General features: G+C 39.9%; 3 protein-coding genes across 61 annotated transcripts in view, besides 1 other annotated feature; 1 reads left to right on the top strand and 2 right to left on the bottom strand.

Annotated features, from left to right (window-relative positions):
- GET1-SH3BGR (GET1-SH3BGR readthrough) overlaps window positions 1-25,137 on the bottom strand; it is a 135,179-nt gene that overhangs the window by 72,473 nt on the left and 37,569 nt on the right. Inside the window, exon 8 of one of the 3 annotated variants that reach the window (NR_146618.2) lies at window positions 16,998-17,272. The exons of the other annotated variants lie outside the window; for them this stretch is intronic. The gene's annotated coding sequence lies outside the window, so the exon portion shown is untranslated. The remainder of the gene's footprint in view (window positions 1-16,997; window positions 17,273-25,137) is intronic. 3 annotated transcript variants of the gene reach the window in all.
- LCA5L (lebercilin LCA5 like) overlaps window positions 1-25,137 on the top strand; it is a 40,051-nt gene that overhangs the window by 2,747 nt on the left and 12,167 nt on the right. For 6 of the 57 annotated variants that reach the window (XM_047440686.1, XM_047440684.1, XM_047440687.1 and 3 more), the window contains 6 exons: window positions 7,459-7,612; window positions 13,638-13,901; window positions 14,529-14,860; window positions 15,127-15,273; window positions 19,542-20,056; window positions 22,189-22,326. In XM_047440686.1, coding sequence (XP_047296642.1) covers window positions 14,539-14,860; window positions 15,127-15,273; window positions 19,542-20,056; window positions 22,189-22,326 — 1,122 coding nt within the window. In that variant the 5' untranslated portion in view covers window positions 7,459-7,612; window positions 13,638-13,901; window positions 14,529-14,538. Of the gene's footprint in view, window positions 1-3,258; window positions 3,399-4,313; window positions 4,349-6,864; window positions 6,936-7,458; window positions 7,613-13,637; window positions 13,902-14,507; window positions 14,861-15,126; window positions 15,274-19,541; window positions 21,475-22,188; window positions 22,327-25,137 lie in introns of those variants that run through there. The other 51 variants (NM_001384286.1, NM_152505.4, NM_001384291.1 and 48 more) reach the window with 29 other exon arrangements.
- Window positions 12,255-12,549: an enhancer, noted in NCBI's record as "tiled region #12540; HepG2 Activating non-DNase unmatched - State 24:Quies, and K562 Activating DNase matched - State 5:Enh". NCBI's record gives its function as "activates a minimal TATA promoter and a strong SV40 promoter by Sharpr-MPRA in HepG2 and K562 cells {active_cell/tissue: HepG2 | K562}" and the evidence as "EXISTENCE:reporter gene assay evidence [ECO:0000049][PMID:27701403]".
- Window positions 14,504-25,137, bottom strand: part of GET1 (guided entry of tail-anchored proteins factor 1) — a 48,203-nt gene continuing 37,569 nt past the window's right edge. The window contains exons 11-12 of the transcript NR_146615.2: window positions 16,998-17,272; window positions 14,504-14,800 (exon numbers count right to left, since the gene is read on the bottom strand). The gene's annotated coding sequence lies outside the window, so the exon portion shown is untranslated. The remainder of the gene's footprint in view (window positions 14,801-16,997; window positions 17,273-25,137) is intronic.

Raw genomic sequence — 25,137 nt, 5'->3', positions numbered from 1 at the left:
CTTGGCTTCTGTGACCATCCCTGACTCTTCTGCTTTTCCTGCTGCCATTCTGGCTCACCCTCCTCTCCCAGGCTCCTTAATATTGGAGATTCTCAAAGCTCGGCATCTGTTCCCATTTTATTCTCCATTGCGCCCCTTCATCTAGCACAAGGCACAGATTCACACGCACAGCTTTTAAGTTCCAGCCCTGTGCTCTTGACTCCTACCTTTCTCCAACTTGACCCTTTCTCAGCTAGACTCGTACGTTCAGCTAGCTGCGTGACAGTGTTTCTTAATACCACTCAGTCTCCTCCAATTCAACATGCACAAAACCAAACAACCCCACTTCCCAACCCCAGCTGGAACCTCTTCCGTTGTACCTAGGATTCCTCCTTGACCCTTATCACACCCCAACACCCAGTGAATCCTTAAGCCCAGGTGAGGTTGTCTCCTGGGCATCTTTCACATCTCTTCATTGTCGTGGACACCCAAGTGCAAACCACCACCTTCATTCAGCCTGCCGCAGTCCTGTACCAGCTTGTCTCCCCACATTCCCTCTGGCTTTTCTCGATTCTTCACCCTGCAGCCAGAGTAACCTTCAGAAGGCAGAGCTGATTATGCCACCCCTCCCGCCTCCCTCTTTTGCCTACAGTTAGCTTCCCATTGCCCTTGGATTAATGATCCACATCATAAACACGCCTTCCGAAGGCCCTGCAGCTGTTCACCCCCGCCTGCGTCTCAAGACTCATCTGAAACCGCTGGCCCTTCTCACTGGGCTTCAGCCACATGGGCCTCCTCCACCCACCAGGCCTTGGCATTCTTTCCTCTCTGTCTGCATTGTTTTTCCCTCCTCCCTCTCATCCTCTCTTGCCTAATTAGTTCCCACTGACCCTTCCTATCTCAACTCAGACAGTACTTCTACAGGGATAACTTCCCTGATCGCTGTCAGGATCAGGTTTCTTTATCTTCACAGAGTTGTATCTCCTTCCTTGAAGACACTCTGGACAGTCACTATTATGATTAGTTCATTACTGACATAAGGCCCACAAAAATAGAAACATTTGCTGTTTGTGTTCATCATTGTATCTCCACACCCCACATAGTGCCTGGCACATAGTAAGCACTCAAATGGGTGCTGAAAGAATGAATGAAATGAACATTCTAATATGTAAGAGATACTAAGCGCCGTGTGTTTTAATACAATTCTATTAAAATAGAATGAAAATCTAGTAAAAATAATCAGGCAAACACTGAAAATTAAAAAGAATGTTGTGTCAGGGTAGCTAAAAACGGGTACTTGTGTAAAGATTTGTAGCCCTTTACTCAGTGCAGTACATTGCACTTGCCACCACTTGGTGGAAGTAGAGAGGCACGGGTTCTTATCCTGAAGGTGACTAGGGTGTCAGTCGGGTAGTGAATTCAAACATTTGTTCTAAAATATATAAAGTTGTTAAATTACCAAAACCTACATAGCATAGCTAGTCTGTAACCATCCAAACTTTGAACGTGGCACATTTTCATGTTATCAAATAAACTTGAAATTGCTTATATATATAGGTATATTTCATTTATGGATTTTAGTGCTAGACTGGACCTTATATGTCACTGAGAAATCACCTAATTTCTTGCCTTAGACATTTGAGGCCTAATAGCTAGTTGTATTGGCAGAACTGGGAACATACCTTTTTTCTTCCACAGTATACTGCCTCTCAATCAGTGTTTTGTTCGTTTGGTTTTTTTTGGTTTTGAAACAGGGTCCCACTCCATCCCTCAGGCTGGAATGTAGTTGTGCGATCACAGCTCACTGCATCACTGCGGCCTTGACTTCCTGGGCTCAGCCTCCTGAGTGGCTGGGACTGTCACACCCGGCTAATTTTTTTTTAGGAACAGGGTCTCACCATGTTGCCCAGGCTGCTCTCAAACTCCCGGGCCCAAGTGATCTGCCCACCTCAGCCTCCCAAAGTGCTGGGATTACAGGTGTGAGCCACCACGCCAGGCCAATCAGTGTTAAGAATCATAACCTCCCTTTGTCAATGTTTAGAGTGACTCGCAAAATTTCTGAAGCAAAAAATTGGGACACATAAAAGTAGATAAAGTGTTTGAAATAATGTTCTTGAAAACCGTAAGATATTGATTATCTTAGCTATATAATACCACATTTATAAGCTTAGAGAAGAGCTTTTCTGTTCATTTAACATTTTTGTCAAAGAGTTTAGAGTTTAAGCCTTTCATTCAATAGGAAGACCCTGAACTTGGGTCTGGCTGATGTTTTTTTCTAACCAGACAGGCTGTGCTTGTGGCAGAAAGACCACAGAAGTGGTGCTGTGATCTTCTCAAGTGCCCATGGACACTAGTGAATGTCACCTGTCCCACCCTGGTGACATGAACCTTGATTACCTGTTCAAGCACAAATCTGCCAGTTTTCTCCACAGCCACCTGTTTTCCCTTTGCATTTGATTAGTGCTTTGGGAAGAGATACTCTGACGTGGTAAATCCCATTTTGTTTTGTTTTTTTTTGAGACAGGGTCTCACTCTTGTCCGGGCTGGAGTGCAGTGTTGGCATGATCAAATTCACTGCAGCCTCAGCCTCCCAAGTAGCTGGGACCATAGGTGTGTACCACCACACCCAGCTAATTTGTTTTGTTTTGTTTTTTATAGAGATGGCATCTCCCTGTGTTGCTCAGGCTGATGTATCCTCCTTATTGGTATTGATGTTCAAATTGCCCTATCTTTGACTAGTGGGAGCTTCTTAAAGCTGGCTCCTGTGCCCTTTTGATACACACCAGCCTTTCTTCTCTTTGCCTGCCTCAGGCTTAGGATCATCCATTTCTCCAAGGAACCCCAATTCATTATAGCAGAGAATGGTATTTAGTGGAGAATGGTACACAGTGTACTCATTGTTTCTGGGGTGTCGTTGATTCTAGGCCCTCTCAGCAGAGTTAGGGGAAAAATACACGCACACATATACATACATATGTATATACACATACACATACATTTATAGATATATATGCACATAGATCTGTAACTGTATATAACTCCTTGTGTGTGTATGTGTGTGTATTTGAACCTAGCATTTCTCATTCTAATCCAACATTTCAGGGTTCTTTCCAGCCTTCCCTCTTTCAGACAGTAAGAAATTTGACCCCATGATTCTAAATATATTTACTTATGTCCTCAGTTAATTTGTTAGCTCTAATTAATTTCCTAACTTTGCCAGCTACCTGACGCCTCTTTGTCACTCCTCCCCCTTACAACTACTTCACTCTGCTTTCTCAGCCTTCAGCCATGCTTCTGCCACTGCCTCTGCAGGAAAGCCACCTGCTTTAAAAAAAAGTCTTCATGGAGTGCTTATGAGAGGGTCGGCTGTTTTCTCCAGCTCATTTTTCCAAAGCAAACAATCCCACCAGCTATCTCAGGTTGGTCATCTTGTTCCTAGATATAGTCCAAGGCAAGGTAAAGCAAGCTGGTTTCTGGAACAATTAAGATATTTCCCCAAAACGTTTGAACTCACCATCTTCTCTGACTTCTTGAAATTTATAACAGTGCAATTCATTTGCATTTAATAGCCTGCTTTTAGTCTCATTTTAATTTGTGATGTTTTTCAAGGTACCTGTATTAGTTCTGTATTGCTGCTATAACAAATTACCACAAACTCAGTGGCTTCAAACAAATTTATTTTCTTACAGCTCTGGAGGTCAGAAGTCTGAAATGAGTCTTAAGGGGCTAAAGTTAGGATGTCAGCAGGACTGATTCCTTCTAGAGGATCCAAGGGAGGATCATTCCCTTCCCTTTTCTAACTTCTAGAAAAGCCTGTATTCTGTGGCATGTGACCCCTTCTTCCATCTTGAAAGCCAGCAGCGTCGTGTCTTCTCCCTCTGACTCTGCTTCTGTGATCACAGAGCCTTCTCACTCTGACCCCTCCTGTGTCCTTCTTAGACAGGCCCATGTGATTACATTAGGTCCACATGGATAATCTGGGATAACTCAAGATAATCTTCCCACCTCAAGACCTGAAACTGATCACATCTGCAAAGTCCCTTTTGCTATATATAGTAACACAGGTTCTAGGGATTAGGACATGGACATCCTTAGGGGACCATTATTCAGCCTACCACTGTACCAAATGAAAGTCTTAAATCTTAAAAATGAGAATTTAACTCTATTTTACATGTAGACATTGATTGGAAAATGAACGTATCTTAGAGAACTTTACATATCTACACATACACAGATATGCTTTATTTTTTATAATATGCATTATCAGTATTCATCACAGTTATAATAACAATAATATGTTTTATCTGATTCTTTAATTTTTGCCATTCTGGTAGATGAAAAGCGGAATCTAATTTGCATTTCATTATGAGTAAGTTCGAACATCTTTTTATATAACTCTTGGTTTTCTGTGTTTCTGTAATGTGTTTATGCTGTAATGCATTCATATCTTTTGCCCATTTTACTAATGGATTATTTTAAGAGGTCTCTGCAAATTAAGGAAATTAGGTCTTTGTCATATGTATTGAAAATCTTTTTTCCAGTTTGTAAGATGCCTTTGAACTTTATTATTTTTTTAATTATAAGGAAGTTTTATATTTTTATGCAGTTATTTTTATCAGTTGTTTCCTTTATGGTTCTAGGCTTTATGTTTTTCCACACTCTGTGTTTTCTTTTAATAATTTTTTAAACATTTACATTTTGAACCCATCTAACCGTCATTTTAGTGTAAGAAATGCAATAAGAATCTGCTTTTGTTTTGATTTCCAGGTAGATTCTAGCCTACCTCTCATCATTTACTGAAGTCCACTTTCTCTACCTTTATCTTAGACTAGGTTACCATATGTATTTGTTTGTGTTTCTGTTTCTGAACTCTTTATTCCAGAATATTGTTCTGTCAAAGCATTAGTATCAGGCTATTTTAGTGACTGTAGTTTTCTATCTCAGTATCTGATCAAAGTAGTCCCTTCTCATCATTTTTGTTCATATTTCTTTGTATTCTTTCATATTTATTTCTCTATGTGAATTTTGTATCGTTTGGTCAAATTTCACAAAATTACTCAGTATTTCATTGAGAATACATTGATCATGTAGATTAAATTAGGGAGAATTTACAGCTTTATAATCTGTGTCCTTTTGATATAAGAACAAAATGTGTCCTTCACTTAAATATTTTATTTCAGTAGTTTTAAAGTTTCCTTCATATTATTCGTAGTAAACTTAGATGTTTTAAATATTTGGATATAGTAAGTGGGGTATGTTTCATCTATTTTCTAAGTCGTTTTATTTTGCATAGAGGAAAGATTATTTTTAGGGCCAGGCACACCTATAATTCCAGCACTTTGGGAGGCCAAAGTGGGCAGATTTCTTGAGCCAAGGAGTTTGAGACTAGCCTGGGCAACATGGTGAAATCCCATCTCTACAAAAACTTGGCCAGGCATGGTGGCACGTGCCTGTAGTCCCAGCTACCCGGGAGACTGAGGTGGGAGGATCACCTGAACCCAGGAGGTTGAGGCTGCAGTGAGCTGTGATCACGCTACTGCACTCCAGTCTGGGCAGTGGAGTGAGACCCTGTCTCAAAAAAAAGATTAATTTTATAGCCATTTTGTAACCTATGGTGTCAATTTAATTCTCTTGATAGTGTTTTATAAGTATATAATCATTTCATTTCATTTCCACATAATAACTTGCCTCTTCTTTTCCAATATTTAGACCTAGTACCTCCAGAACAATATTAATGAACAACAGTGATAGTAGGCATTTCTTATCTTAATTCTTACATCAGTGTAAATTAATGTTTCACCATTAAGCTTAAAGCTGTTTTTTTGTTTGAGATAGGTATTTATCACATTGGGAAAGCTTTCATTTGGAGCTTTTCAGATTGGGTTAGCAGTAATGAGAAGTTTTTTCAGGAGTAATGGATATGAAGAGAGGAATTAAGCACAGAGGCATCCGGAACATTAATTTATTTGATCAATATTTATTGGACACTTAATATTCTCAGGAACTCCTCTAGGCACTGAGGATATAGCAATAGACAAAGGAGCCAGAATGCATGCCTTGTGAAGCATGCAGTTAGTGGGGAAGCCAGGCTACAAACAGGCTGAGGAAGTAAAATGGGTGTTAGGTTAGATAGTATGTGTTAAAGAGAAAAAATGAAATGGGGAAGGCAATAGGAAATGTTGAGAATGGATAAGAAAAGAGGGAAAATTTGCATGCTGAGTAAGTTTTTTTTCCCAAGAGGCAGGACTGGTTAAGAATATAATTACTGGCCGGGTGCTGTGGCCCGGATCATGCCTGTAATCCCAGCACTTTGGGAGGCCAAGGCAGGTGGATCACTTGAGTCTAGGAGTTCTAGACCAGCCTGGGCAACATAGTAAAATCCCGTCTCTGCAAAAATAAAAAAATTAGTTGGGCATGGTGACACATGCCTGTAGTCCCAGCTACTTGAAAAGCTGAGGCAGGAGGATCGCGTGAGCCCAGGAGGTCGAGACTGCAGTGAGCTGAGCTAACACCACTGCACTCCAGCCTGGATGACACAGTGAGACTCCATCTCAAAAAATATGTATGTAATTACCTACCCATAGAATAATTTCAGCCAGAAACACAGATGTAATCATTTGAATTAAATTATCCTTATGAATTAATTATAAATTTACTACTGAATTTTTTTCATTATATGCGTGTAACAAAATATTTACTTTTAAGAATTAGGATTTTCTAGTTGTATTATTAACCAAGAATCTGATAATTCATGAAAGTATGGAACCAGAATACATTTTAGTATATAATACTAAATCAGTCACTGTCTCTGCTTCTAAAATACAATCCAGTGCTTACAATTAGCTACCAAGAGGGTCGTCTTTTTGTTATTTTTATTGTTGACAGGCAAGAAACACATAATCCAAAAACTTTAATTATTTATGTTCAACTCTGTACTGGAAAGAAAGAGCAGGCAGGTGAGCCACAAGATCTTTTCTGCCAAAAACTTGAAAAGGCACTGCTGTGTATGGCTCCTTCAAATCTTACTTCAACATCACTGTTTGATAATCACATCCAAGAATTTCCCAATCAACTGCCAACAGGTGATTCACTTTCATAGAGAAAAAGCCGCCTGTGGCCAGGTGCAGTAGCTCACACCTGTAATCCCAGCACTTTGGGAGGCCAAGGTGAGTAGATCACTTGAGGTCAGGAGTTTGAGACCAGCCTGGCCAACATGGTAAAACCCCGTCTGTACTAAAAATACAAAAAAATTAGCCGGGCATGGTGGCGGGCGCCTGTAATCCCAGCTACTCAGGAGGCTGAGGCAGGAGAATTGCTTGAACCTGGGAGGCAGAGGTTGCAGTGAGCCAAGACCACACCAATCCATAATACAAGGGAATATATATATATTAATTAAAACTGCTTCAAAACCTTATTCTTATTACATAAATATGTTTCTTTGTGAGATTGTAACATTTTCCTTTTGTAATACCATTTTAGGTTTTTTAAAATATATTCTTTCTTTAAAAAGAGACCAAAACCTGTCAAAAAAATACTACCGTGGAAAGCTCATAAATACTACAGTGTGAAGAACCCTGTGCTTATCTTCAGTTTATCATCAGACATCTTAGGGAAGTTTAATAAAGAACACCAGGTATGCAGTAATCACTTTCAAACATTTTAGTGTGTTTTATTTTCCATCTGCCTTGTTGCAAAAGCAGGAGAAAAGACACCTGACCGTTGTATTCAGAATGATTCAGACATATACCTTGATCTTGAACATTCTTATTTCTAATTCACTAATTAGATAAGCATAATATAGAAGTTTACTGTTCTTTTAAGTAGCCATCCCTTTCACCATAGTGCATTCCGGGAAAACGTAACCTCAACCAGATCAGATTTTTTCCATTAGAATAGTGTTTATAATTACTCATTGTGTTCCCGAGTCATAACAGCAAAGAAACAACTATAAACTCCATAATGATAGAGACATAATAAAATTATGCTTCATGTGCAGTAAAATAGGCACCACTATACTGTAAACTGTTCAAAATATAAATGCTGCCAAACTAAATCTGAACTATACTGTAAATTTGATACAAAAACTAGTGTAACTATAGTAGATATTAATTTTATAATTACTAACTTTGCCTATTTTAAGATCCTTTTGCCTTACCTTCTTCATAACCCCAGACCCTGGAAGACACTAAATAAATGTTCTTTGACTGAACATATTAATTAATTAAGAACATCAGTGGCCGGACATGGTGGGTCATGCCTGTAATCCTAGCACTTTGAGAGGCTGAGATGGGAGGATTGCTTGAGCCTAGGAGTTCAAGACCAGCCTGGGCAACATAGTGAGACCCTATCTCTTCAAAAACTAAAAATATTAGCCAGGCATGGTGGTATGTGCCTGTAATCCCAGCTAAATGAAAGGCTGAGGTGGGAGAACTGCTTGAGCCTAGGAGGTCAAGCCTGCAGTGAGCTGTGATCACACCACTGCACTCCAGTCTAGGCAACAGAGTAAGACCCCGTCTCAAAAGAAAGAACAGTAGGTGGTTGGTTTAAGGCCTGGATTTTTCAAAAATGCACCACATAATCAGAAATTTGTATGTGGAAACTACACTTTTTATTGATAACAATAGAGAAGTGTAGTGTATGTATATTAATATGAAGATTTCTGAAATAGTTTAATCAACTTAAAAGTACAGTTATAGGCCTGATACTAGTCATCAGTCAATTTTTAACAGGTCAGTGAGAAAACTGGTATTTAGCAGACTGAATATATGATCCTACTTGATACCTGCATTCAGGACACATTCATTGCCAACTATAGTAATAGCCAAGAATCAAACTGGGTTTTACTTTTGTTTACATTGCTGATAATGTCTCTCAGTCGCCATTTCATGGAAAAGAATAGAACTCACACAGTGCCAGGTGAACCCAAACATACCTGTATTGAGGTCATATAGGTAGAAATTTTAGGATGGTTCTGGAGTCCTGGGAATTCCAGAATGCTAGGAATATCCTGTCTCTTTGATGAGTATAATTTATGTACAAGTAACTCTTTTGGAAATTTACCTACCCTGCCAAGGCAGGAGAATTGGCAAAACTCTGTCTCTACAAAAAAAAAAAAAAAAAAAAAAGCTGGATGTGGTGGCATGGACCTGTAGTCCAGCTACTTGGGAGGCTGAGGAGGGAGGATCACTTGAACCCAGGAGGTGGAGGTTGCAGTGAGCCAAGATCGTGCCACTGCACTCCAGCCTGGGCAATAGAAGAAGACCCTCTCTCAAAAAAAAAAAAAAAAAGCTACAGTAACCAAAATAGTGTGGTATTGGTATGAATATAGAGAAACAGATCAGTAGAACAGTATAGAGAGCACAGAAATAGATCAACATATGAATATCTGGGTTTTTACAAAGATGCAAAGGCAATTGAGTGGGAAAAGGATAGTCTTTGCAACAAACGGTGCTGAAGCAATTAGATGCCCATATACCAAAAAATGAATTTTAATCCATAATAAGTAACTCAAAATGGATTACAGATTTAAAGTAAAACTTCTAGAAGAAAGAAAGGAGGATATCTTTGTGACCTCAGGTCATGCAAAAATTTCTTAGATACAGCACCAAAAGGATCTTTTTTTTTTTTTTTTTTTTTTTGAGACAGAGTTTCTTGTCACCCAGGTTGGAGTACAATGGCGCAATCTCAGCTCACTGCAACCTCCACCTCCTGGGTTCAAGCAATTCTCCTGCCTCAGCCTCCCAAGTAGCTGGGATTATAGGCGCCCGCCACCACGCCCAGCTAATTTTCTTATTTTTTGGTAGAGATGGGGTTTAAATTTGTTGGCCAGGCTGGTCACGAACTCCTGACCTCAGGCAATCCGCCTGTCTTGGCCTCCCAAAGTGCTGGGATTACAGGCATGAGCCACCGTGCCCGGCCAGGATCATTCTTCAAAGAACAAATTGATAATTGGGCTTCACCAAAATTAACAGTCTGCTCTTTAAAAGACATTTTTAAGAGAATGAAAAATCACAGATGAGGAGAAAATGTTTGCAAAGCATATATCTGATAAAGGATTTATATCCAGAATATTCACAGCAATTTTATTTGTAATAGCCCAAAACTGGAAATAGCTGAAATGTCTGTGAACAGATGAATAAACAAATTATGGTTTATACATACAATTGGAAACTACTCAGCAACTTAAAAACAAAACAAATGAACTACTGATATTGATGCACATAGTAACATGGATGAATCTCATAATAATAATGCTGAGTGAAAGAAGCCAACCAAATAAAAATACATACTGGATTATTCCATTTATATAAAACTCTATAAAATGCAAAATAATTGATAGTGACAAAAAAACAGGGTTTGCCTGGGTTGGGAGTGAGGCGCAGGGAAGGATGAGAGGAATTACAATGGGGTGCTGGGAGGCTTTGGGAGATTATGTGGTTGTGTTCACTGTCTTGATTGTGGTGATAGTTTCATGGGGATACACATTTCTAATCTTATCAAATGGTACTCTTACTAATTTTCTTTGATACCTCAATAAAAGAGGGTTAAAAATAAAGAATTGTATCCCAAAGGCTTAGGAATCAGTTGTGTTAAATATGTACGCTCAGTAAGCCAAATAAATTGACCTATTTGATACATTTTTTAAAATCTTCATTTTAAAATGTTAGCGAATCAGGTACAAAATTCATTTAAGTGTTATTATCATCTGGTCCCAGTTTTTCTTATGACCTCTTTTTGTCAAAGACTATGCCATTAATATTAAAAACAATTGTCTATTTGTTGTAGCAAAAAGAAGCATACTGAGTTTACCTAAAAGCCGATTTTACCTAAAAGCTGATTTTAGTGACACTGACATTAATAAGCTGTGATAAACACTGGGCCAGTCAGTTTATACACTGATCTTACCAAGTTGTAAATATATTATTTCAAAAGAATATAGCATCTAAATATACTCTATAAAGCATTCATGACAACTTTTAAATTTAGTAAGCTCCCAAAAATTCAGTGTCTTAGGATATGGATTGAAATTATGATTTTTGATTTTCAGATATTTTTGCCTATTTAAGACAAATCGGTGAACACAGCAATTAATCTGAAGTTGCTTGTAGCTTTTTTTACATGAGACAGATTAGGTTATAGTAGTGATCAATAGTAGAATTGATCACTGCCTTATACTATGTGTTTTAGAAATTTGACAAAAGCAAGTTGACAGTACATCCACTAGAAAATTTATGGCAGGCCAGGCGCGCTGGCTTACACCTGTAATCCCAGCACTTTGGGAGCCCGAGGCGGGCAGATCACAAGGTCAAGAGATCGAGACCATCCTGGCCAACATGGTGAAACCCCATCTCTACTAAAAATACAAAAATTAGCTGGGCTTGGTGGCACGTACCTGTAGTCCCAGCTACTTGGGAGGCTGAGGCAGGAGAATCGCTTGAACCCGGGAGGCAGAGGTTGCAGTGAGCCGAGATCATGCCACTGCACTCCAGCCTGGCGACAGAGCAAGACTCCATCTCAAAAATAAAATAAATAAAATTGGTAGCAGTCATTTTCTACTCATCCATTCCACCAACAAAAAAAAAATTGTCTTTATGGTAAGACCACCCTTTGCCCATCCTGAGGAAACTAGATCCCTAACGTTAGGCTAGGCAAATTATTGAGCAGGAAAGATTGTGGATAATTTTGCTAGTAAGGGATCTTCTCACTGAAACATTGACAGATTTTTGATTTTTCAAGCATTTTTAAGAAGCTACAATTACTTCTAGCTATAAGGATCCTGCAAAATACAGACATCCACTGGAGCCAGTAGGTAATGGGACAACTCAGCATCCACAGAGGCTTATGACTTGCACATCCACGTGGAGAGGGCGGTAACACCTTCCAATCCACCACCTTTCTCACAGCTAAGTCTAGAAAGCCTCATTAGGGGACATTTTAATCTGGTAGAATTGTTTTAAGAGTGAAGTTATTTATAGTCTTGTTTATTCTTATGTGGCTCTACAGGATTTCCATTGGAATTTTTTTTCTTTTTTGGCTGTTACATCAATTTTTATTAAACTAAGAGACTAAGATGGCTAGGCTTCTACTTTATCAAACATGGGACAATTGAAGTTCACTTTAGTCTTCTGTGAGAGGCTTGCATTTTTTAAAGAAAAAAGGACAAAGTCAGGAGAGGGACAATTGCAAACGTCGTTTTTCAGGAATTCTCATTGGTCTACAGAAATAACAGTGACTGGCGATTAGATTGTTGTTTGAACCACAGGGTATGAGCTGTGGTGTCCAGCATATGGCATTGTTAGGTTAATTTATAGCTATTGGTGGTGTCAGTCAGAGCCCACGGAGCAAGCAGCTTAGAAATGATTACTTAGCTCAGCTGGGGGGATGGGGGGACGTGACTGCTGTCTCATTCCAGTGCCTCTTTGGGCCTGGTCATTTAAAGGGGGTTGCATTCCTCAGATAAGCTTCTTTTCTTTCTCAACCCTATGGGATTGGTGGTGTCACTCACATTTTACAGATGGACAAGAGCACTTAAGTGACAGGCAGACCCAAGTTCAAACCCAAGCCGGTCTGCCTTCAAATTGTCCATCACCTTCTACTCCATCCCACTCCCTCCCACTACTGTAGCTGGACAATTTGTGAATGTAACATGAAAAACACTCTTGAATTAAGCCTTTATCCAAAATTGCCTGCATAAGAAGACTTGTTGAAGGAGTGTTCTAAAGTGAGGAAGAAGGAGGGGCTTTAGCAGAAGTCAGCCGAACTCTAGCTTGAGTCAGAAACAACTGGCCAAAAAAACAAATTCTTCTTGCGGATTAGCAACCATTGTTTGAGCCATTTGGATTTACCAAGATAGGTGAGGAGGAAATTAGGGACTGAGGTCATGAGCAAGAGGGCAGGGAGGAACAGCTCCTGGGGACAAGGACAGGCAAGGCTATGAGGGCTACACGGGAGCATTTGTAGTCTTTCAGGGTCCCTTACACCAACATCTGGGATTCTTCTTTTTGTTTTTGTTTGTTTGTTTGTTTGTTTGTTTGTTTTTGAGACAGAGTTGGCCCTGTCACCCAGGCTGGAATGCAGTGCCGCGATCACAGCTCACTGCAACCTCTGCCTCCTGGACTCAAGCAATCCCACTTCAGCCTCCCAAGTCGCTGGGACTACAAGTGTGCACCACCACACCCCACTAATTTTTGTATTTGTTTTGTAGAGACGGTTTCGCCATGTTGCCCAGGCTGGTCCTAAACTTCTGAGCTCAAGCTATCCACCCACCTCAGCCTCCCAAAGTGCTGGTATTTCAGATGTGAGCCACAATGCCCAGCCTGGATTCTTCTTAATCTAGATGCAAAGGTTCACAAATAAGGATCTGCTTCTGCCCACCGCTACACAGCAGAATGTGTCTGGAAAGAGAAATTCTTTGCCTTAGGATTGTGTAATGCTCCCACCAATGTGGTGTTGCAGTCATGGTGCTTAATGAAAAAAGCACTGCCCCTGGAGCTAAGAAACAGGGACAGTCTCTGAACTTTAAACCTGTCTGAACCTATTCCCTCTAGGTGGCTGAGATGAGGTGATGTGAAATAAGTTTGTACAAAGTAAGAGCACTAGTTAGATATTAAGTGTAATGCTAATATTAATTATTACTAAGATCATTTGATTTCTTGTAGTGAGGAGATTGTGGACTGCCTAATATATTTCATCAGAAGAGAAGGCTGGAGAATTAAGCAGATGCAGCAAAAAGCAGAAACTGACTTCAAAAAAAACCCTCTCAGTAGAGAAAGTGATATTAGATTCCTATTGCAAAGGATCTAATGCCAGTTAAATTCTCTTTTGCTTTCTTGATAAAACAGGAGAATTGAGAATTAAATGAAAAGGTAAATCCTTTTAAAGACCTCAGAAGATGGATCTGTTTGTTTCAATCTGCTTTTGAGGTAAGCTGCTATAAAAGAGATACTTGTGGTGGTATTGTCCTTAGTGCAGTAGCATAATAAAGAAATGCAGAACCATCTGCTTTGTAACTAATGTTAATTTTATTAAGGGTATAAATTTGGGGTCTTTCTTGTATTTCACTTTCTATTCCTTCCATTTTAAATTATCACTTTAGACAACTAAGAGGGCTTATTGAAAGTATTCAAAGTTTATGTCCATGGCTGAGCATGGTGGCTCACGCCTGTAATCCCACCACTTTGTGAGACCAAGGTGGGAGGATCACTTGAGCCCAGGAGTTCAAGACCAGCCTGGGCAACATAGTGAGACTCCCATTTCTACCAAAAAATAATAAGTTAGCCAGGTGTGACGGCACACACTCGTAGTCCCAGCTACTCCAGAGGCTGAGCTGAGAGGATCGCTTGAGCCCAGGAGGTCAAGGCTGCAGAAAGCCATGGCCACACCACTGCACTCCAACCTAGGCAACAGAGTGACACCCTGTCTTTAAAAAAAAAAAAAAAAAAAAAAAAAAAAAAATATATATATATATATATATAAAATAAAGCATAGGTTCATTTTAATGTCAATAAATTCAAAAATACTTTTATTAGGTTTTACTTTTCTTTTATTAGGTTGTTTGCTATGTCTTTGGCTGATCTAACAAAAACAAATATAGATGAGCATTTCTTCGGCGTGGCATTAGAAAACAATAGGAGGTCTGCAGCATGCAAGAGAAGCCCAGGCACAGGCGATTTTTCACGGAACAGTAATGCTTCCAATAAGAGTGTTGATTATAGCAGATCTCAGTGCTCCTGTGGAAGTTTAAGTTCTCAGTATGATTATTCAGAAGACTTTCTCTGTGATTGTTCAGAAAAGGCTATTAATAGAAATTATTTAAAGCAGCCTGTGGTAAAAGAAAAGGAGAAGAAAAAGTATAATGTTTCTAAAATCTCCCAATCTAAAGGTAAGGAGTAAAATTTCCCAAGCAAGACCAAATTTCTGTCATAATGATGTTATTTTACTGCACTAGTGTTTGAAGTGGTTCATACTCAGTTTTATTGTTTTCCCATATTGTAAATGTGTATTATAGGTGAACTTTTATAGAATAAATTAGGAAATAGAGAAATTAAGAGTAATTATAAAATAACAGAAAGGCTTCACATGTAAAGCCTAGCCCCCTGCATGGCTTACCCTACTGGAGCCTACTAGTGAGGTTAGTTCTGTTTTTAGTTAACAGGTGGCCTTGTTACAGAGTACCACAATATTTGGATTTCACTGGCTTCTTGCCTTTCATCTCAGCTGAAGAATCAGTGTTTGAATTGCCAGTGAAATGTAAATACCTATCTCAGCACCCCAAGAGGATGGTCTCCAAGTCTGGTGAGACATATTGGCAAACACCATCTTTTGAAACAGAGATGGTTCAAAAGGCTGTTAATAATGTCATTTCTTTGTAGATTTTTTTTTTTTTTTTTTGAGACAGAGTCTTGCTCTGGTTACCCAGGCTGGAGTGCAGTGGCGCCATCTCGGCTCACTGCAAGCTCTGCCTCCCGGGTTCACGCCATTCTCCTGCCTCAGCCTCCTGAGTAGCTGGGACTACAGGCACCCACCACCACGCCCGGCTAATTTTTTGTATTTTTAGTAGAGACAGGGTTTCACCGTGTTAGCCAGGATGGTCTCGATCTCCTGACCTCGTGATCCGCCTGCCTCGGCCTCCCAAAGTGCTGGGATTACAGGCGTGAGCCACCGCGCCCGGCTCTTTGTAGATTTTTAAAGTACCAGCTCTATCAACTCCCAGCTGTCCAAATTGGAATTAGCTTGTGTTATCTTTGATCTCCTTTCTTCCTCCTTCCCTGCCCAGACTGTAATTCCTTCCTCCCATTTGAGGCAATCTTGAGCTCATAAGTATTCCTTATATAGAAACAGCTGGGGCTCTTGTCCATGTTGACCATCAGAGCACTTCAGTCAACAGGAGGACAATAAAGGGCCTGCTGTTTGGGGAGTGCATCTGCCACCGCCATGTCCACCTTGCATCTTGCATCCCCAGTCTGCTGTTACCAGCTGTGTCCAGGACCCTCTGTGCCACTTCTGGAACACCCAGAATCTTCAGTTCCCCTGCTATAGCACAGGGATTCTTTATCTAAGACACATGTCTGTGAACCCCATGAAATTCTATGCATTTTTTTGTGTCTATGTGTGTTTGTAAACTTTTCTAGACGGCCCTGTACCTTTCATCAGAGTCTCAAAAGGTTAAATGTTACTTTTCTAGAGAGCTGGGGGTCCTACCTCCACTGGCAAGGCCCAGGGCAGGAAATGAAAAGTCCAGTACTTCTCTCATGCCTGGACTCCATCAAAAATGAACATCATGGTTAGATCCTACAAACACACAATTCCTTATCCACATTTGAAATTTACAAATCTCCAAAAACCCAACATCTTTCATATCCTTGGCATCAAAGTTGATTTGGCAACAAAAACCTTATTTGAACTAATATGAAGCAGATCTTTAGTTATTTCACTTAGTGTGAATAGTGATTATAATTTCACTGCAAAAATATAGTTTCATTAAAGGGTGTTGTTCCAGACCCCAATGAGAGAACTGTGGAAAATACCATATATGCACTCACCTTTAAAACCCACCCCCAAATTCTGAAACAGTCTGGTTCCAAGGGTTTACAATAAGAGATCTTGAATCTATATACTACATTTTATATTGATGGTAAGCTTTTGTGGGATCATGCAAGAGGGCAGTTGGCATTTATAAAACTTTCTACAAGAGAGAAATTGCATTTCGAATTCTAAGTACCTTATAATTTAGCTTTTTAAAGCTGATTACTCTTGGAGTATATATTCCTCCATCAAGTATGCGTGATGGATACAGTATGAATTTGTTACATACCCCTCAAATGCAAGTGGTGTACTTACCTTTCTGAAGCCAACAAACCTGGCTTGTCCTCCCCACCCACTCACTAGGGTAGACAGGAAAGTCAATCTCAGACACGTTTGGGGAATAAGGGAATATGAGGGGGCAGGGACATGGAAAGGGCCTCACACAAAGAAGAATACTGGGGGAGAAGCCTCTGCCCTTCATTTTTACCACTTACATGTTCCTTGTCCAAGCCATATGATCTTTAAAAGGCCAGCACCTCCCCTTTCCAACGCATCCATGCCCTCTGTGCACTTCTTGACTCCTGGGGCCTTGGCCAGAGCTCCTGTGGCCATGGCGTTTAGTCCCTTAGCACCCTCTCATGCCTCTGCCCTCCCATCACTTGAGCATGGCATGAGAGGGAAATATAAGCCTCCAGTGCCCATGGATCCCATCACGCATCCTTCTCATCTCAGTGAAATCCCTCTCCTCCAGGGTCAGAGCACCTAAGAGCTGGAAGACATTACAAGTTGGGGGTCAGGTTCAGTCATGCTGGCCATAGTGTAGAACATGTCAGTCCTCGCCCACCCCTGTTTTAAACCAGCCTGATCCATACGGCCTGGGTCTAGAGCTTCCCTAGCCAGTGCCCAGAGTATTAAAGTGTACGGCCTCAACAAAACCACAGACACCTCTTCGCAGGCCTTCTAGTAGATGTCCTAGAGGCTGGCCTGCTCTGCTTTCCACTTACTGTGCTCAGAAGCCTATTCTAAAATACTTAATATTCAGCCATAGCCCCTACTAAACCATGGGAAAATAAATACACTTGAAGGTATAATTGCAAAGACAGGCCACCAGTTATTGATGTTATACTGTGTTGTATAATCTATGAGTTCTTTCATAGTTATGATTCAAATGTTTTATCCCCAGAAAGCATGCTTTGGCTCTCTTGGTTCATTGTTTCTATCACAGGTAGAATTGCCTTTCCCACCACCTGGAGCAGACATATTAAGCCACATCTCAGATGTGTCCACACTTGGACCAGTAGTTTAAGGTTAGGACTTGGGTGACACTGGCCACTAAGTGTCCTTCCCTCTCCAGAATGAGGATCAGACATTTTTAGAGTTTAGAATCCAGTTTCAATTTCTCCTTCTCCGAATCTAGATATATGAATACATACACTTGCACACCACATATACATTTACATACACAGGTGCACACATACATATACCTCTATATCCTACAAATGCACACACCTGTGGGGCACTAGCATAGGCACATAGACAATGGGCTCTGTCTCACCACTTCCTAGCTGTGTGCTCATTGACAAGGGACATCCCCAAGCTTCCATGTGTTTATCTTTAAAATGGGATAATAGTACAGTGATTTACAAATGTATTTAACATACTCAAATTCAATTAGGTAAGTTTGGTGCTAACTGATAATTTTTAGAGACTTTTTGTTTAAGATAGACCCCTGGACACATGCCAATTACTTCATTTGGTGCCCAGCCAAAGTAACAGGAAAAATTAACTGTGTTGGATTTATTGAGAGATGGAAAATCGGTATCTGTATAAACAGATAGACTCTTATGCAATTTGATGACCTTTTGAGGGTCATTTTGAATATATAAGTTCTTTACATTGGATTCTCATGTTATACTCTAATTACCCATAACATATTGTTGAAAGGATTACATCAGATAATCTACAGAAAGCATTTAGTTTAATGCCTGACATATGATAAGCACTTAGTAAATTTCAGCTATTGTCATGGGGTTGGTTTGTTTGTTTTTGAGACAGGGTCTCACTTTGTCACCCAGGCTGGAATGCAGTGGTGCAATCATAGCTCACTGCAGCCTCAAACTCCTGGGCTCAAGGGATCCTCCCGCCAAGGCTTCCTGAGGAGCTAGGACTATAGGCATGTGCCACCATGTTAGGCTACTTTTCAAAATTTTGTAGAGGCCGGGCACAATGGCTCCCACCTGTAATCCCAGCACTTTGGGAGGCCAAGGAGGGTGGATCACTTGAGGGTCAGGAGTTTGAGACCAGCCTGGCCAACATGGTGAAACTCCGTCTCTACTAAAAATACAAAAATTAGCAGGGCATAGTGGCAGACACGTGTAATCCCAGCTACTCGGGAGGCTGAGGCAGGAGAATCGCTTGAACCCGGGATGCAGAGGTTGCAGTGAGCCAAGGTTGCACCACTACACTCCAGCCTGGGCAATGGAGGGAGACTCCATCTCAAAAAAAAATAAAAATAAACATTTAAAAAAATTGTTTTTTAGAGATGGGATCTTAACTCTGTTGATCAGGCTGGTCTCAAACTCTTGTCCTCAAGCAGTCCTCCCACTGCAGCCTCCCAAAGTGTAGAGATTACAGACATGAGCCACTGCACCTGGCCTATTATCACAGCTTTTAGTCTAGCTGTTATAATAGAAATCTAAGTACAGATTTTAGAGTCAAAGAAGACCTGGTTTTCAATCCATTCTGTGTCACTTCGTGGCTATGTAATCTTGGACAAATGATGTAAAATCTCCAGCTATAAAATATATTACAACTGATCTTAAAGAATTGTATTAAATGAGGTAGTTATATATAAAGTACCTAGCCTAAAGCATGGGTATTCATTAAATGATAGTTTTGTCCCCTTCTAGTTACACTTACGCTTGTGTGTATGTGTGTGGTGTGTGTGCATGGGGGCATGGGAGAGAGATTATGCATATGTGCATATTTGCATATCTGTATATTTTACTAGTAATAAACTGGATTTTCTGCTTACACAGGCCAGAAGGAAATATCAGTTGAAAAAAAGCACACCTGGAATGCATCACTCTTTAATTCTCAAATCCATATGATTGCCCAAAGAAGAGATGCTATGGCTCATCGAATACTCTCAGCAAGGCTTCATAAAATTAAAGGACTAAAAAATGAATTAGCTGATATGCATCATAAATTGGAAGCCATCCTTACAGAAAACCAATTTTTGAAACAACTTCAGCTTAGGCATTTGAAAGCTATAGGAAAATATGAGAATTCACAAAATAATCTACCTCAAATTATGGCTAAACATCAGAATGAAGTAAAAAATTTAAGGCAACTACTTAGGAAATCCCAGGAAAAGGAAAGAACTCTATCTAGGAAACTTAGAGAAACTGACAGCCAGTTACTGAAGACTAAAGATATCTTGCAGGCACTGCAGAAACTTTCTGAAGACAAAAACCTTGCAGAAAGGGAAGAACTCACTCATAAATTATCTATTATCACAACAAAAATGGACGCAAATGACAAAAAAATACAGGTCTGTATTTCAGGGGCCCAGACAGTTTAAGATTCCAAAGTTAATAGAGAGAGGGTGTGAATTAATCATGGATGCGCCCCCTCTGTAACAAAGCATTACTAACTGCTTCACTTGGCGTGCTGCACTAAATAATTATGTTGTCTAATAGAGGGCACAGAAAGGGAGTGGTTTGAAGGAAAAACAGAAGCAGCTCAAACTAGAAATGTTCATCTGTTGCAGTGCACAAGAGTTCACTCTGTGGCTGGACTGGTTTATCTGGAAATGACCATTCTCTAAGAGAGCACAGCTACAGTGCTAAGGGACTTTTTCCCTGTGCTGAAAAGATTGCATTGTGTTACGTGAAACCTCTCTTTGAAGTCAACCCTCTACCTTAAACTGTTGATTAAAAGGCTACTTCCCTAAAAACCTACTCAGTGCATCCGTTCAGGGCCTTTGTATTCTCCCTCACCATTTTGGCCAGGAATTACCACACAGACATTTGTAGTTATTTTCAAAATAGCAGCTTTTCCCAGATAATGTTCCTGGGTAGTAGGGAAGGAAAAGGAATTAAAATAATTAAAGAGATGACTGGATTGATTTTCCTCAACAGCACTTGGTTGTCAAAAGCCTGGGGATTACATTATAAGGGATGACTTGGGAGAAGGCATTGATATCATATTAAGAATTCTCCTGCATATCTTACATTAGCTAGTTTGAGTCTGTATAGACATAAACATAAATGGAATTAATTTAGGATTTAATTCTGTAATATTTGATGCTGAAACACGAGTATTTTCTATGATCTTGAAGTAAGTAAATATCAGGTTCGTTTCCTCCACGTTTTAATCTCAGTTATTTCTTCTGTTGTTAAAATTCCCTATTTTCCAATAAATTTTTTTCACATGAAATTAATATGTGATCTACAGAAAATAATGAGCAACCTCAATTTTCACTCTTGTATACCAAAGTGATATTATTGGGCCTTTTAGGTAATATTGTATTCATCTTAGCGTATGTCTGTCATGTAAAAGCAAATCTGTTTTCATGTATGTATCTAAGTTGTTCATGTTTTTATATCTATACATAAAACCAAAACAAATTCCATAACTATTTTCTTTGATACAAAAAGCACTTACCAAGTATGAGAAATTTCTGTTTGGTTGTAGGCATTTAGTGGAGGAAAACTGTTTTGTGGACCAAAACATGTTATTTCTTTAACATTAATGTTTTAGGGAGTGGTATTTTTAGTGATTCTTTCCCCTTGTAGCTTTCCATGTCTTCCACTTTTCCTGTTTGGGAAAGTACTGCTGTTATAATGGAGGAGGTCCTACTTTATGTTAAAACAAAGAAAAGTGGTCCTTTTGGTAAGCTTTCTGTCAAGTCCAGATCTAACAGTTCTCCAATAAAATAGTTCTCATTCCAGAGAGCAGATGAATATATTTATGGATGGTTATTGAATTAAATCAGTCATTTCATTGTCTTACAGTCCATCAGTGTGGATGGATGTGGTGGTTTGAGTCCCTTTTATAACATTCAGTTTCTGTTGTCTGGGAATGCCCATCCATGATGTCTACTGATTTTCAGGATCTGGTCAGAATGTTTAAATCGGGCAGGGCACAGTGGCCTCTCGCCCGTAATACCAGCACTTTGGGAGGCCGAGGTGGGCCAGGAGCTTGAGACCAGCCTGGCCAACACAGCAAAACCCTGTCTTTACTAAAAATACAAAAATTATCCAGGCATGGTGGTGTGCACCTGTAAACCCAGCTACCCAGGGGCTGAGGCAGGAGAATCGTTTGAACCCAGGAGGTGGAGGCTGCAGTGAGCCGAGATCGCACCACTGCATTCCAGCCTGGGCAACAGAGCAAGACTCCAACTTAGAAAAAAAAAAAAAAAAACGAATTGTTAAATCAAATTTTAGAGTATGTAAAAAACAGGCTCCAAACGTGTGATATTTGTTCTCTAGAGCTGGGATCTGGGATTTGGGGTCTTTCTTTCGGTTATACTTCATTCCAATATATGTCCCCTGTATAAGTCATTCACTAAAATTGTATTGAAAATGTGCACTTTTCATAAATGTAGTTAGTTCCATGATAATTGAAGTTTTTAACATACTAACTTGGTTGCAGAATAGTTATAATATATACTGTTTTCAGAGCTTGGAAAAACAACTGAGGTTGAACTGCAGAGCCTTTAGCCGGCAGCTGGCTATTGAGACTCGGAAGACTTTAGCAGCTCAGACAGCTACCAAGACTCTGCAGGTGGAAGTAAAACACCTTCAACAAAAACTTAAGGTATTTCTTTTAAAACAAAATGTAAGAATGAAATCCTGTTTCCCGAAATATATGAGCTATTTATGTCTATTATATCTTTAAGTGATTTTTTATTTTACATACATATATAAGGCTCCTCTACCCTTTGTAGGGGGCCTGGGCCCCCATCCACAGTTCTGTTTATCTTTTTTTTTTTTTTTTTTTGAGATAGAATCTTGCTCTGTCACCCAGGCTGGAGTGCAGTGGCATGATCTCGGCTCACTGCAGCCTCTGCCTCCCAGGTTCAAGTGATTCTCTTATCTCAACCTCCTGAGTAGCTAGGAGTACAGGCATGCAACACCACGCTTGGCTAATTTTTGTTATTTTTAGTAGAGACGGGCTTTTGCCGTGTTGGCCAGGCTGGTCTTGAACTCCTGGGCTCAAGTGATCCACCTGCCTTGGTCTCCCATAGTGCTGGGATTACAGGTGTGAGCCACCGCACCTGGCCTAAATTATGTAACTTCATTAATATCTTTCTCAGATATTTTCTCTACAATCATATGAACAGACAAAGGATCTGCAATTATTAGAATGAGTTAACAGCTTGGCGAATGTGTACTGTCATTAGAAAAATAGAAACTCTATTCATTAACAAGGCTTCTTGTTAGCATTCCTATTTCATCACGTTAAGTAATACAGCGTTTGTTAACATTTTAATGTAACTCAAAATTAACGTTTAAAAACATAATATTTAAGATAAATTTTAATGACTCATAAATTTATCTTAGTTTTACTTAAAAATGTGTTTGAAAAACTGTCTTAAAAATATGTATACTGCTTTAAAAATAAGAATTTTTAAAATATTTTGTCAGGCTTTTTGCTATCTTTCTGCCTTCAAGATTGGTAAAATGTCCAACAATTTAGATAAGATGCTTAAGAAATACGCTGTTTCAAGCCTCAACTAATAAATCTTAAGCTTGATTCTTTAAGACAAGGATCTTTAACTTTTTTATTTTTAAGGAAGGCAAAAATGAGCTCCTTTAGGCCTCTTTTACAAGGGCACTAATCCCATTCACAAGGATTCTGCCCTTGTGACCTAATCACCTCCCAAAAGGCCCACGTCGTAAAAGTATCACTATGGGGGCTAGGATATTAACATAAGAAATTTAGCACTATATCAATAATTTCCCTTTCTTTCTTTTTTCTTTTTTCTTTTTTTTTTTTGAACAGGGTCTTGCTCTGTTGCCCAGACTAGAATGCGGTGGCACCATCCTGGCTCACTGCAGCCTCGAACTCCTGGGCTAAAGTGATCTTCCCACCTCGGCCTCCCAAGTAGCTGGGATCACAGGTACATGCCACCATACCCAGCTAATTTTTAAAATTTTTGTAGAGACGGGGTCTCGCTGTGTTGCCCAGGCTGGTCTCAAACTCCTGGGCTCAAGCAATCCTCCTGCCTTGGCCTTCCAAAGTGTTAGGATTACAGGTGTGAGCCACCACACCCAGCCTGATCTTTAACTTTTTTGTGACAATTAGGCAATTTAGATTTTCCAGGAGCCTTGAGATGACTCAGAGACAGGAGAAGAATAGTGGGGGGTGAGGAGTTGGGGCGGAGCTGGACGAGTTGGATAATTCATCTGATGAATTATGTTGGTATCATTGAGAACTGGGATTTGGAGGATGAAAGAAAGAAAATTTTCCCTTTGTAAAGAAGAAAAAAGAGTTCCTTTTTTCTGTGGAGTTCCAGGAAACTTCAAAAAGAATACATAGAACATAGGCATGGCTATTGCAGCTAGCTGAGAAATCTAACAGAAGAGACTTCAAGATCCCCTGGTCACAGCAAACACACACACATATGGAGACACAATTGGGGAATTTTAAAATAAATTTTATGCTTCCTCATGCAGACATATGAATATGAATAACATGCAGCCATTAAAAAACCATTTCTGGCCAGGCATGGTGGCTCACACCTGTAATCCCAGCACTTTGGGAGGCCGAGGCGGGCAGATCACCTGAGGTTGGGAGTTCGAGACCAGCCTGACCAACATGGCAAAACCCCGTCTCTACTAAAAATACAAAAATTAGCTTGGCATGGTGATGCGTGCCTGTAATCCCATTACTTGGGAGGCTGAGGCAGGAGAATTGCTTGAACCTGGGAAGCAGAGGTTGCAGTGAGCCAAGATTGTGCCACTGCACTCCACCCTGGGTGACAGAGTGAGGCTCCATCTCAAAAAAATTTAAAAAAAATAAAATAAAAATAACCATTTTTAACAGAGAAATGCTTAATACTTAATGAAATGCTTAATGAAAAGATAGAAAATTCTATATACAGTAAGATCCAAATTTATTTTTAAAAAGAAAATTAAATGTACCTCCACACAATGGATATCTATATATCTGTAAACAGCAATGAAGAATCTTGATGTACTACTATGGAATAATCTCTAGGATACACTGGTAAGTGAAGAAAGGAAGGCAAACGAAACTGTAATATCCTTGATATGGTTTGGCTGTGTCCCCACCCAAATCTCATCTTGAATTGTAGCTCCCACAGTTCCCACATGTCAGGGGAGGGACCCAGTGGGAGGTAATTAGATCATAGAGGCAGGTCTTTCCCATGCTGTTCTTGTGATAGTGAATAAGTCTCATGAGATCTGATGGTTTTATAAAAAGAAACTCCCCCGCTGGGCGCGGTGGCTCACGCCTGTAATCCCAGCACTTTGGGAGGCCAAGGTGGGTGGATCACGAGGTCAGGAGATGGAGACAATCCTGGCAAACACGGCGAAACCCCATCTCTACTAAAAAATACAAAAAATTAACCAGGCATGGTGGCGGGCACCTGTAGTCCCAGCT

This window comes from Homo sapiens, chromosome 21 (genome assembly GCF_000001405.40).
Source record: "Homo sapiens chromosome 21, GRCh38.p14 Primary Assembly".
Classification (NCBI taxonomy): Eukaryota; Metazoa; Chordata; class Mammalia; order Primates; family Hominidae; genus Homo; species Homo sapiens.
The sequence above is the reverse complement of the archived record's forward strand: the minus strand, read 5'-3'. Positions and strand labels throughout refer to the sequence as shown.